The sequence below is a fragment of the Homo sapiens genome, chromosome 6 (assembly GCF_000001405.40).
Source record: "Homo sapiens chromosome 6, GRCh38.p14 Primary Assembly".
Classification (NCBI taxonomy): Eukaryota; Metazoa; Chordata; class Mammalia; order Primates; family Hominidae; genus Homo; species Homo sapiens.
In genome coordinates, this window is record NC_000006.12 from 33,925,437 (window position 1) to 33,939,548 (window position 14,112).

At 49.2% G+C, this 14,112-nt stretch overlaps 1 long non-coding RNA gene across 1 annotated transcript, besides 1 other annotated feature; it reads left to right on the forward strand.

The window, feature by feature from the left end:
- Positions 1,056–1,350: an enhancer, noted in NCBI's record as "tiled region #1001; HepG2 Activating non-DNase unmatched - State 20:ReprD, and K562 Activating DNase unmatched - State 9:DNaseU". NCBI's record gives its function as "activates a minimal TATA promoter and a strong SV40 promoter by Sharpr-MPRA in HepG2 and K562 cells {active_cell/tissue: HepG2 | K562}" and the evidence as "EXISTENCE:reporter gene assay evidence [ECO:0000049][PMID:27701403]".
- On the forward strand, positions 9,786–11,756 carry LOC124901308 (uncharacterized). The gene is made up of 2 exons (XR_007059557.1): positions 9,786–9,849; positions 11,564–11,756. It is a non-coding gene; the product is annotated as an uncharacterized LOC124901308 (long non-coding RNA).
- The last annotated feature ends 2,356 nt before the right edge of the window (positions 11,757–14,112 follow it).

Below are 14,112 nucleotides of genomic sequence, written 5' to 3' on the forward strand. Positions count from 1 at the left end.
CCAGGGGCTGCTCGCCTCCGGTCCCAGGTCCTCACCCCACCACCAGCAGGTCTCGGCCCTGTGCCTCATAGGTTCCCAGCCTTCCCCTGCTTGGGCCCTGGGTTTGGCTCTGGGGCTGACAGCCCGTGCCTTGACTGTGGCATGTGGGCTGTGGCTGCCAGGTCAGGAAGAATCAGTGGACAGTTGGTCACAAGCACCCTGGTCCCAAATCTTGAAATGCTCACGTTCTTCAACTTCTTCAACTACTACCCCACCCCTCCAGGCCTTTTCCTCTCTCTGACAGCTTCACTTCACCCCAGTGTCTCCTCCTCCTCCTCAGAAGTGGCCGTTCCCCAGCATTTGGAGCCCAGGACCCCTCCCAGCCCTGAAGCATTTGCCTCCCAGCCTCCCCCGAACCTTGCTCCCCTACTGCCACCCCCTGTCTGTCCCGGAGGAGGCCTCATAGACACTTGCTGCGTGCCACTCCAAGGAGGCTGTGGTGCTCCTGCCAACTCTCCAGTGGCTGCCACAACTGCTGTCTTCAGGAGGAGGAGGGATGGCCCCCTCAGCCTCCCTGCCTCTGCTATCTCAGCCCCAGCGTCCCGGCATCATCTGCTCCACCTCCAGGCAAGTCAGAGCCAGGCTTGCCATCTGCCTGGCAGCCTGGGGCACTGTGCCTTTATGGCTCCCGGGTAGGACGTGGACCTGGGCCCCAGCCCCTGGGCGCCAAGGTGCCAACCCTGCAGGGGAGTTGCTTAATGACCTTCATGAGCAGTAATTACACCCCAGGGCCCTCTCTTAATAACCACGTATTCTCCCTGTCAATGTGCCTTAATTGAAAATGAGTAGGCGATACAAGTTGCTGTGAAGTTGGCTGGCAAGCCCTTAACGTGATATTAATTGTAGTAATTAGTAGTCACTTTGTGTTGGAGTCATCTATAAATAGGGGGTCCATTAGTTTAGCAAAAGAGCATGATTTAAAATGCAAATAAAAGCCCAATTAGACAGATAAATCGCTTGTCTTTTCCAGCAAATTATCATCTTCCAGAAGGACGGCAGCCACTTTGGGGCTGCACTGCTCAGTTCAGGGGCTCTGAACTCTTTATACCACCGGAGTGGCCCTTTTGATACACTGTCCCTTTAAACAGGTTTGCACCAAGCTTCCTCAGGAGGCTGTCACTCTTAGAGCAGTCCCTATAGACTCTTATTTTATTGGCACAACTGGTGGTCAGGGCCCCAAGTAGCTCCTCCCCCTGTATGCTGATTGGTCCCCTTTGGTGACACAGAAGCACATTTTAAAGGAATAGTAGCACAGTGCGTAAGGCACTAGGAGAATGGGTGGGGGGTAGGAGGGGTCTACTCTTTGAATTTGGCTCTGCACGGTCCAGACAGAGTGAACCACCAATGCTATGTGTTGTCCTGTGACCCAAAAAAGTTAAAAATAAACTCACACCATTGTTGTGGGGCTGGACAACTTACTTTCCGCTTCTTTCTCTCTTCTACAAAAGCTACTTACGGTGGTTGCAGAGATTTCTCTCTCTCTCTCTCTCTCGCACACACACACACACACACACACACACACACACACACACAGTATTTCTCATAGGCTTTGGGCAAACATTTCAGGTGCAAACAACTGGAAGTAGAATGTGGCAGCTAGGGAGGTGTTAAGAGGGCGCAGCTTCAAGGCCAGAGGGGAGATTTCTAGTTCAACCTTCCTTTGACTAGAGCTTCACCAGTTACCCAACACTTTCTCCCAGGCCTGTGTTTCAAACTTCTCAATTAAAGAGGCTGTTGAGATGTGCGTGGGGACATGGGTGTGAGTTCTTCCCTCTCTGGCTTGTTGAGCTTCTGGAGAACTGGTGTCCTGGGCTCAGCTCGGAGCCCTTCCTGTCCCCTCCTTCGGCCTGCCACACCCCCTCCCCACGAGCCCTTCACTCCTTTGTGGCCAACTGAGGCTACCCCTCAGACAGCATTTGCATTTTAATAAGACCCAAAGTCAAAAGATAAAACAGCTATTCCCAAACACAGGGAACACTAACAATTGTCTCTTCCAGCAGGAGTTTCATCTTTGTCCAAAAAATGAGGAGAACACAGGAAACTTGAAAGTATTATCCTTGATTATATTATCCTTTTATGATTCAATGTTTGCAGCAGGTGGTAGTACTTGCTATTTTTAATGTCCTATTTGACAAAATAAAATATTGGCAACCCTGTGTTGGTCCCAAAAATATTTTTTGGAAATTTTGCCAGGGTATGAAATTCAAATGTCTGGAGCTGCTGAGCTAGAAGACTGAATCAGGGACTTGAAGCGGGTGAGTCACAGCTGCCTGTGTGTGCAGGAGTGTGTGTGAGTGCACACACGTGGTATTGGCCGGTGAAATAAGGACACTCATCGTGGGAGATTTCCCTGTCTTTGAAATAGCACAAGAAGACAGTTAGATCACAGAGGAAGAACTGGAAGGAGGCTGGGGTGCTGTCCCCTCCAATCTTCCTATATTCCAGATGAGGAAACAGGCCCAGGCCACATGGTGAGTTAGTGGTCTAGGCACAGGCCATCATACACTGAGGGCACCTCCTGCTATCCCCAGCTGACCCTGGCCGATGTGTTGGTCCCTAAAGCAAGCATTGGATTAGATGTCACAGGATGGGTGGAGGCTGCCTTGGCCTACTGAATCTCTAGTTGTTCCACAGCAGAGGCCATCTGTTTACTCCCAGAATGTGGAAAACAGCCTTGCTGACAACCAGACCAAAGAAACAAAAGACAGTGCTCAAGACAGCACATTAGAGAAGACTGCTCCAGGGTCACAAAAATGACTGACCAGCCTGTTTGAGTGACCAGTGCTTCTCCACTAGTGACAATCTGGCCCTCTTTTAATCCTCCTACCTCCTATGTAAAAATTAAGTTCCCTATCACCAAATTGGCCCACTTCTTGGAAGCACCCAACCCCAGACTGGCCTCTGCTTCCCCACCCTCTCCCTAAAGTCACCCAGCACCAACCCCAACCCTGGAAGAGGTCCCTTTCATAACTCTCCTTTTGAGATGTTTGGGAAGTTCTCCAGGGTGCATTCTCCCTTGCTACAGCAAGCTAAATAAATCCTATGGTTGTGTTCCTGGTGGTTTTTGGTTGTTGGGCTTTGAACAGTCAACAAATATTTGAACCACACTGTTCCATGCAATGTGGTCATGAAGAAAAGCAACAGTGATCAAAACAATGTGGTCTGGATCAATGGATAGACACAGAGATCAAAGGACTAGAACTGAGAGTCTAGAAATAAAACCATGTGTCTGCTGTCAACTGATTTTCAACAAGGGTGCTAAGACCATTCAGTGGAGAATAGACTTTAACAAATGGTGCTGGGACAGCTGGTTAGCTACAAGCAAAAGAATGAAGTTGGACCCTTACCTCACACCATATACAAAAGTTAACTCAAAATGAATCAAAGCCCTAAATATAAGAACTAAGACTATAAAACTTAAAAGAAAACATAGGGGGAATTTTCATGACCTCAGATTTGGCAACAGATCCATAGATATGACACCAAAATAATGAGGAACAAAAGAAAAAATAAATTTGAATTTATAAAAATTAAAAACTTGTGTATTTCAAAGACATTATCAAGAAAGGAAAAATACAACCCACAGAATGGGAGAAAATAGGCCAGGTGTGGTGGCTTATGCCTGTAACCCCAGCGCTTTGGGAGGCCGAGGCAGGTGGATCACTTGAGGTCAGGAGTTCGAGACCAGCCTGGCCAACATGGTGAAATCCTTTCTTTACTAAAAATACAAAAATTAGCTGGGTGTGGTGGCACACACCTGTAATCCCAGCTATTCAGGAGGCTGAGGCAGGAGAATTGTTTGAACTCAGGAGGTGGTTCAAACAATTGCAATACATTGCAGTGAGTTGAGATTGCGCCACCGTACTCCAGCCTGGGCAACAGAGTGAGAATCGTCTCAAAAAAAAAAAAAAGAAGAAGAAGAAGAAAAAATATTTGCAAATTATATATCTGATAAGAGACTTGTATCTAAAGAACTCTCACAAAGCAATAATAAAAAGGCAAAAAAAAATGGGCAAAAAGTCTGATTAGACATTTCTCTGATGAAGATATACAAATGGCCAATAAGCACATGAAAAGGTGTTTGACATTATTAGTCATCAGGGAAATGCAAATCCAAACAAGGAGACACCACTTTACACCTGCTAGGAAGGCTGGTATCAAAAAGTCATATAACAAGTGTTGGTGAGGATGTGGAAGGATCCGAATCCCCCCGCACTGCCACCTTGGAAAGTAGTCACAGTTCCTCACATGATTAAAGATTAGAGTTACCATATGACCCAACAGTTCCACTCATAGGTATATACCAAGGAGAAATGAAACATGTGCCTACACAGAAACTTGTACATGAATGTTTATAGCAACATCGGTCATAATAGCCAAAAGGTGGAAACAACCCCAATGTGTAACTGACGAATGGATAAAGAAAATGTGGTCATCCACACAATGGAACATCACACACAAGTCTCGTGTGGATGTGTGTTTTCATTTGCCTTCGATAATTTGCTAGGAGTGGAATTGCTGGGTCATATGGTGAATTTATGTTTAACTTTGTAAAAATGACTGTGCCACTCTCCGAAGTCTCACTGTTTTATATTCCCTGGGGAAGTGACATTTGAGCTGAGACCTAACAGATGAGGAGGAGCCAGTCATGCAATGAATGGGGGAGAGTTTCCCGGGGCAGACAGGGAGCAACAGCTGGTGTGAAGGCCTGACGCCAGGAAAGGGGGAAAGCTTTGTTGGCTAGAGGAGCTGACTCTGTTTGAAGAAATTGGTAAGATTTTTTTTTTTTTTTTTTTTTTTTGAGACAGAGTTTCACTCTTGTGCCCAAGCTGGAGTACAGTGGTGAGATCTCGGCTCACTACAACCTCCACTTCCTGGGTTCAAGTGATTCTCTTTCCTCAGCCTCCCGAGTAGCTGGGATTATAGGCACCTGCCACCATGCCCAGCTAATTTTTTGTATTTTTACTAGAGACAGGGTTTCACCATGTAGGCCAGGCTGGTCTTGAACTCCTGACCTCAAGGGATCCACCTACCTCGGCCTCCCAAAGTGCTGGGATTACAGGCATGAGTCACCATGCCCTGCCCTATAAGATTTTTTATATTGAGCCACCTGCAAGAATATGAAAATGAGTCTGTGGAAGAGAATGAGGTCCCCAGGGAAGGGCAGTCTGAGCACTGGGCTGTGTGCTGATGAACATGAGAGACTAGGAATGTGTGTGACCTGGAGGGAGGTTGACCACACTGGGCACAGCTGGAGGAGACAGCACCGACTTCCCAGTGAGGCTGCTCTGCGCTTGAATTCCAGCTCAGCCTCTGGGATGTTGGGCAAGATTCTTAACCTCCCTGACTCTCAGTCTCCTCAGATGTAAAATGGGAACCAATTTCACCCTGTCATGAGACGGTGAAGAACTGAGGACTCGCAATATGTATGTCATATCAAGACTCTGGCCTGAAGGGGCCAGATGCCACAGTCCAGGGCAGCTGGTGTGGGGAGTGAAGGGCAGGTATGAGCCGGTGTGAGGAGGGCAGCAGGCAGCTCATGGGGGCTGCAACTTTACCCTGGAGGCAGTGAGAAGCGGCTGGAGGACTCTTGAGCTAGCCAGGGCTATGGTCAAGGATGGAAGCTACAACTGGGTATCAGGTCGCTGATCATACAGCATTCTCCAGGTGGGTAGAGCAGGGGAGACCAGAGGAGGAGACCAGTCATCTGCCTGATTGCAGTAATCCAGGTGAGGTTACAGGGGCCAGGGAAGCAGAGGGAGAGGGCAGAGCACAGGGAGGAGTGCTAAGGGGTGGAGGGACCGGCTTGAGGGCTGGAGGGTAGCGGGTGAGAGATGGAGTGTAGTGTTTCTCCAGGTGTCTGTCTGGGGCTCAAGAGTGGCTGGCCACACCAGAGAGGTTGAGGACTGGGGACAGCAGGTTTGGAGTGGGGAGAAGCAGGGAAGGAGGTGAGTGCTCTATTTGGATATGCTGGGTCTGAGGCATCTGTGGAGAAACCCCATTGGCCCCACGGCAGACTGTGAGAAGAAAGGCCCTGTCTCTGGGAAGCCCCAGGGTGCTAGACTCAGCTGTCCTCAGGAACAGCTCCCTGGGGCTTCTTGCCACCACTGACCTGAGGAGGGGCCCCTCTCTTTTCTCATCTGTTTGTCCTGAGCATGGGACAGACCCTTCCCTGATGCCCCACCTCCCTGTATGGTCTTAGGTGTGACTTTAACAGGCCTTGAAGGTTTAGGAATGATACTATACTGTGATCATCCCAAAGGGTCTCTTCTGAGACCAGCTCCCAACATCACCCCCAGTCTTGCCCTCCGCGTCTTCCCACATGGCTGTGGGCCTCTGACCCCCACCTCTCTCTACTGTGGTTTCTGGGGCTGATCCCTGAACCTGGAAAGTACGGGTTCCTCTTCCCACAGACTCTTCTGGTGTCCCCCAGTATCCACTCTTCTCTATGAACTCCTGATTTGAAGCTGGGCAGGTACCCATTCAGAACAACAAATTTCCCAACCTTGCTTGCAGTTGGATGTGGTCATGTGACCAATGAGGTATACATGGAAGTGTCATTTCCAACAATTGTCTTTAAAAGAATGAGGGGTGGCCTTCATCATTCTTCCCTCTTGATCGAAAGCAGATGGAATGGCTGGAGCTCCAGCAGTCACCTTGGATCATGGAGTAGGGGTGTGCCCTTGGAATGGAAGCCATGCACAATGGCGCAACAAGATAGAAGACAGAAGCCTGGTGGTGCCCTTTGCTGCCCACCTCCAGGGGGCATCCTTCACATGGCATTCTGTGGTGTGTCCCAGAAGGTGCCAGTCACAGAATACCATGCGAAGGGCACCCCTGAAGCTTGCAAAACGTCAGCCTCCGCTGCCTGCCTCTGAACATCATGCAACTGAGAGAGAATCATACTTTGTTACGAGCATCTGCTCTCTGAGGATTTTCTGTCCTGTATATTTGCAGCTCAATCTAACCCCAGCACCCCTGGTCTAACACCTGGTCCCGAGTCCTCCTTTCCTTTGTCCAGATCTGTCTGTACCCAGGATGAGTGAATGTTGACTAACTTCAGGAGAAACCCATCCTATCCCTGGCAGTGGCCCCACAAGACAACACACAAAAGTCACAGCCAGGATTCTCCAAAGTCCAAGCTGTTCTTAAGTCTCACCTGGGCTCTCCTTGTAGTTGATGATCTACTGTGAACCACCCCAAAACCGAGTGGCTTCACACAATTTTGCATGGGTTTTCTGGGCTTCCCTAGGCATTTCTAATCTAGGGTCTCCCCAGCCTCCAAAGTCACACAGCATCACTTCTAACACATGGCTCGCCTGATCCAGGTTCAAAAGTAGGGAACCACACAGGGCATGGACACCAGGAGGCATGGCTCACTGGATACCCAGCCATCATAAAGATAGGCCACTGTAGCTTGGAGGGCAGCTGGACCAGAGACACAAATTTTGAGTTTTGACTGTTTTTACTCACAATACTTCTGACATCAAATGCGTGGGTTTTTCTTCCACTCAACGGCCAGTTCTCTTATTCTCCAGCCACCCAACCAGATGTTTGTAAACTAAAAATCCTAAGCTCCACACCAATTGAATGGACCCCCTCTTGGCCAAGGGGACCCCAGAGAAACCTTAAAAAATGGAGTTCCTGGTCATGATGGGAAGGGCAGTTGGACACGCCTCAGTATATCCCCTCCCTTTCAGAGTTTAGGCAGAACTGACCAGCATTGATGTTAAGATAGAGATCACGAGACTGACAAAACAGACTCTTTGTGGCAGTAAGATACAAGATTATAAACAGGACCTAAGGCCATGCCAGGCAAGGGTTATGTCACACCCACAGGCCATCAATCTTACTACATGGCATCCTTAAATGAAAACATTCCTTTCTGGCCAGGCACTTTGGGAGGACGAGGCAGGCAGATTGCTTGAACTCAGGAGTTGGAGACAAGCCTGGGCAACATAAGGAGACCCTGTTTCTACAAAAGATACAAACATTAGCCAGGCGTGGTGGTGCACACCTGTGGTCCCAGCTACAGGCTGAGGTGAGAGGATCGCTTGAGCCTGGGAGGTGGAGGCTTCAGTGAGCTGAGATGGCACCGCTGCACTCCACCCTGAGCGACACAGGGAGACTATCTCAAACGAACAAAAGAAAGAACATTCCTTTCTGCTTACTCCAAGTTTAGATAGACAGAGCCTTACACCTTAAACCAATTGTATATTAAGGAATCTCCGAATCTACCTGTAACCTATCAGCCCTGCATCAAGATAGCCAGTCTTTTCGGGCTGAACCAATGTGTACCTCCCATGTACTGATTTATGTCTTTGCCTCCCTAACAGGTATGGAATGAATCTGTGCCCTGATCGCCCCGGTGCACTTTTTCAGGACCCCTTGTGACTGTGTCCTCTGGGCTTCTGTCACTCATATTGGCTCAGAATACACCTCTTTAAAATATTTTACAGTTTGATTTTTCCGGTAACATGTCCTTCAACTCAGTTCAATTCTGACATGAACTCCTTGGAGTTAGTGCAGATCCCACGGGAAGAGCTCAGTCCTGCAAGACTTCTCCCACTTCAGTTGTCAGAGCTGGGGGTCGGGGGGGCCTCATCTGCAAGTCGCAGGTCACCACCTGTACTTCTGACCAACCGGCTCTAAATCAGGGGTTCCCACAACCCCTTCCTCCCTGTGATAATTTGCTGTAACGGCTCACAGAACTCAGGAAAGCGCTTTTACTTACTGTACTGGTTTATTATACAGGATATAACACAGGAACAGCTACACAGAAGAGATGCATAAGGCAAGGTATAGGGGAGATGTGCGAGTTTCCACGCCCTCTCTGGCTGTGTCCCCTCCCAGCACCTCCCTTTGTGTGACAACCCAGAAGTTCCCCAAGTCCCATCACTTAGGAGTCTTTCTGGAGGTTTCATCCTATAGGCATGATTGTTTAAATCATTGGCCACTGGTGACTGAACTCAACCTCCAGCCCTCTCCCCTCCCCAGAGGTATTGGGTGGGGCTGAAAGTCCCAACCCTCTAATCATGCCTTGGTCTTTGGTGACCAGCTCCATCCTGAAGCTACCTAGGGCCACCACTCATCGCATTAGCATACAAAAGACACTTCCCACTTTGGAGATTCCAAGAGTTTTAGGATCTGTGTGCCAGCATACAGGGACAAAGAGCAAATATTTAGTTTTTATTATTACAAGTAAGTGCTGATCAAAACTCCAAGAATGGATGAGTTTGGTGCACACTTGTGTGTCCTTGAGTGTGTGTGGTATGTGCAGGTGTGTGTATACATGGGTGGCATGTGTGTGTGGTACATGCAGTGTGCCTGAAGTGGTAAGGTGGCTGCACATGGGAGGGAGCTGGAGCTTGTCAGAGAAGTGGGATTCAGGGCGGCTGTGTCTTTAAATTAGAATCCTTGAGGCCTGGATTCCCTTCTTTGCTGCCTCCCACTTTTCCTCCTTCAGCAGCTCTGCCACCTTCAAATCCCAGCCAGACACTATCAAGCAGGAAAAGAGCTACCAGAGACCACCTCTGAGGAGGAGTCAAGCTCAGCATCCAGGGGCAGCCGTGCCCCGCTCCCCACTTCCTGACGGCAGCAGGTCCACAAGGAGGCCCCCACCACTGCAGTGAAGCGGGGAGGGCTTGGTGAGCCCCAGCCTCACCAGCAGCTCCCCGGCAGGATCATGCTGCCATTCTCGTTGCCCCTGTGCCCCACCATGGCCTCCATAGAAGGTGTGTGGACATTGTCTGCCTTTTTGGAACTTGGATCTGAGTGGACCTGGGTTCCACTCCTGCGATGTGACAGTAGGTAGGTCACTCGCATTCTCTGAGCCAAATAAAAGGACTGAGTTAGATCCCTTAAGATGCCATTCCAGGTTCCACCTGCCTGCCTGGCTCTCCCTCTCATTCATGCTTTGCTACTTTCACAAATGAAGCCTGGAAGGGCCAGGTGGAGGCAGGAACGTCCCTAACCTCCAGAGGTCATTGCAGGCAGCACCCTGCCTAGGTTCCAGGATCTCTGTCTGAGCCCAGGGCCCTCATCTGTCAGGCAGGGCCCAGTGGCTGCAGGGGCGGGAGCAGAGGGGGAGGTAATCTTCCCTGGAATATTAATGGCCCCGTCAGGAGTGCTGGGGACGAGCTGAGCAGCAATCTGCCTTTATTAACAAGGCGGGCGCCAGCTGGAGCGCGGGGCCCGGGAGAGAGGAGCTGCTGCAGCAGAGGCAGCTGCGGGGAGCTGCCCTCCTGGCCAGGGCAGCAGGTAAACAACAGAGGGCGCCTGGGCCTCAGAGCCCACCCACCCTCAGCCACTGCACCACCGGCCCCCTAGCTTGATCCCCTCATCTCTTCTGTTTCTTCCGTGCTGGAGGTAGGAGGGGCTCCTTCTTGGCTGGATGCAAGTGTGTGGGTATGCAGTGATATATGCAGGTGTACAGGGTGTGTGGGGGGTGTGCACATGTGAGCAGGCATATATGTGTGCAGATCTGTAGGCCTGGGACAAGTGCATGCCTACCTGAAGCCACCTGGGTGCCCAGCCACATACCACCCTGGGTGGCTAAGGGCACCCGCGTGCTTGGGGAACAGTGGGCTGACTACTCAGGCCACTGGTCTTCTAAGAGGGCAGGGGAGGAGGAATAATTTAGTCAGCCTTCACTCCACTTAATTATTTAAGCCACCACGAGTGCAGGGTTATGAAGCTGAGATTAACCACTGGTGCTATGGCTGGGAGCGATACATATTTCCCCTTCATTTTGTCTTTTCTGGTCACCAAATTGAATCAATTTATTAGGGTTGCTCACAATCGATTTGTTCTGATTCCCCAGCAGTAAGGAAGAGAAATGCGGCACCAGCCCCCAGGGCCAAATTTTACTCATTAAAATGATCCCTTTCCAGGCAGGGGGGGACCAGTGCGACCCCCTATTCACCTGGACTGAGCTGCCCTGCCCCAGAAGATAGGGGCACACCCATATCCGCTACACCCCTGAACCCTAGGGCCCCTCTAGGCCCTAACCTCAAACATTTCAAATTGAAACTAAATTCTCGCCCACCTGCCTCCCCGAGGCAAGACACTCATGCTCTGTGAACTGTGCTTTCCAAGGCTGATGCCAGCAGGAAAAGGGGCATAGCACACACCTCACCCCAACACCTGCCACTGTGCCTGTGATGCCACCATTGGAATCACTGATCGCCAGAGTAACAACAAATTATTGTTAAGTGACTTGTCCAAGGTCACACAGGCAGTAAGCGGTTGTGGTACATATAGTGGATGAACTATCCAAAAGCCATTGTCAAGCCCCCTTTTTCTTTCCTTCCTTTACTCAATAGCTAAAAAGCCAAAATGCTCACCTTCCCAGCTTCCCTTGCTGCTGCTAGGAGTAGCCCTGCGACACAATTTTGGCCAACGGGCAAAAAGTGAAAGTCCTTGGAACAGCCATTCCTTTCCAAATAAAAAGACAAAGCCTAGCTAGGGGAAGACCCTTTGCCCTTCCTGTTTCTCACTTCTTCTCCCTTCTGCTTATTTACAGGAAACAGATGTGATGACCAGAGGTGCAGCAGCCACCATGTGACCATGAGGAGGACATGTATAGCTATGACAGAGCAGGAAAACAGAGATCCCACGTCCCCAGGGACATCTTTGAGCTACTGTATCAGCTCAGGACTGCCTTCTCCCAGACTTCTTATTGGACAAGCCAAATAAACTCCTCCTTTGTTTAAGTCTCTCTGCAGGCATTTCCTGTTACTTACTGCCTAATATGTTCCTAGCTGATGAGATTCAACCATAAGCAGTTTGGCTCCAGAGCCCCTGATCTTAGCAATCTTGTCCTCCCTGTCACTGAGTTTGTAGAAGACAAATTTGAAGGCTCTTCATGCCATAACTTATTTTGAAAGACATTTTTTAAGAGTAGTTTTAGGATCACATCGAAAGAAAAAGATACAGAGAGTTCCTATATACCCCTGCCCCCTACATTCACAGCCTCCCCATTATCAACCCCTGCACCAGAGTGGTACATGTGCTACAATCAATGAACCTACATTGACACATCATTATCACCCAAAGTCATAGATTACACTAGGATTCACTCTTGGTAATATACATTTTATGGGTTTGGATGAATGTACAATGACATGTATCTACCACTGTGGTATCATATAGAGTATTTTTGCTACCCTAAAAATCTGCTGTGCTCTGCCTATTCCTCCCTCCCCCTCACCCCCTAAACCCTTGGCAACCCCTGATCTTTTTATCGTGTTCATAGTTTTGCCTCTTCAGGGATGTCACCTAGTTGGAATCATACAGTATGTGGCCCTTTCAGATTGGCTTCTTTCACTTAGTAATATGCATTTAAGGTCCATCCATGTCTTTTTATGTCTTCATAGCTTATTTCTTTTTAGCACAGAATAATATTCCATTGTCTGGATGTACCACAGCTATTTACCCTTCATTTACTTAAGGGTATGTTGGTTGCATCCAAGTTTTGCAACTATGAATAAAGCTGCTATAAATATCATGTATAAGTTTTTGTGTGGACATAAGTTTTTAACTCCTTTGGGTAAATACCAAGGCGCACAATTGCTAGAATGTGGTAAGAGCATGTTTAGTTTTGTAAGAAACTTCTAGACTGTCTTCTAGAGTTGCTGCACCATTTGCATTCTCACTAGCAAGAATGAGAGTTCCTGTCGCTCCATATCCTCACCAGCCTTGAACATCCCCTCTTTTTGGTCCCCTCCGATCCCTAACTGAAGGGCTGTCTGTCTCACATAACTTGACAGCCTTGGCTTTAGAGTGGACACCTGAACAATAGCGGAGCCAATCAGATTCTTCCTCAAGAAGAGGAACCAGGCCTGGGACTTAGTCTCATGTGGAGGACATTTGATGCACTGCCCAGATCTCCCTGAGGAATGAAGGGCATATTCCCCTAGCTGCTGAAAGTGCTGGGAAACAAGACACTCCCCAGCTGGATTAGTCCATTTTCACATTGCTATAAAGAATTACCTGAGGCTCGGTAATTTATAAAGAAAAGAGGTTTAACTGGCTCACAGTTCTGCATGCTATATAGGAAGCATGGCTGGGGAGGCCTCAGAAAACTTACAATCATGGCAGAAGGCGAAGGGAAAGCAGGCACATCTTACGTGGCCAGGGAAGGAGGAAGACAGCGAAGGCGGAGGTGCTACACACTTTTAAACAACCAGATCTCACAAGAGCTCACTCACTATCACAAGAACAGCAAGGGTGAAATCCACCCCCATGATCCAATCAACTCCCACCAGGCCTCTCCTCCAATACTGGGGGTTACGATTCCAAAAGAGATTTCAGTGGAGACACAAATCCAAACCATATCACCAGCTGTCAGTGCATCAAGGATGGCCTCAGCCAAAGAGAGCTGCTTTGCCCATGGCCGTGCTCTCTTTCCTGGGCAGCCCACATCCGAATGCAGAGGAGCGGTTAAAGGCTCAGTCCCCTCACTATCCCAGGTCCAGGGCTTTCCACGAGATCAGAGGACATTTTGGGGATGGCATCACACCTCAGCTTCCCCCTCTGTCCGCTCCTGCACCTTCCCTTTCCTCCCACAGGGGTTGAGCCTGGGAACACTCCCTAGTAAACATCCTCCACAAGCTCCATGTCAGCGTCTGCCCCTCAGGGAATCCAACCCGGGACACACGAGCTGGAAGGACCTGAGACAAGTGGGCTGAAATGGTCACTACCATCCATGAACAGAGAAGAGGCAGAGACCTGTAGTGCTGTGAGAGGAGCGAGAGGCAGGACCACATGGCCCCAGGAGAAGGAGCAGGATGAACAAGTGTCCACGCTGATTCTAGAATGTTTTCCAGTTCCTGAGTCAGCCCCTAGCACAGCCCTCAGGTTCCATGAGACACCCCTGATTCCTCACAATACCCTCCCTGTTTTGTTGAGCTAGCATAGATGGATTTTGGTTTCCTGCCATCAAACTATCCTCAAACAATAAATACTGCTACCCTGCATTTTAGGAATAAGAAAACTAAAGCCCAGAGGGGAAGGGCCTTCCCTAAGATCACATCAGGTTAGTGAGAGAGCCAGATTTTTATGTTTATTCAT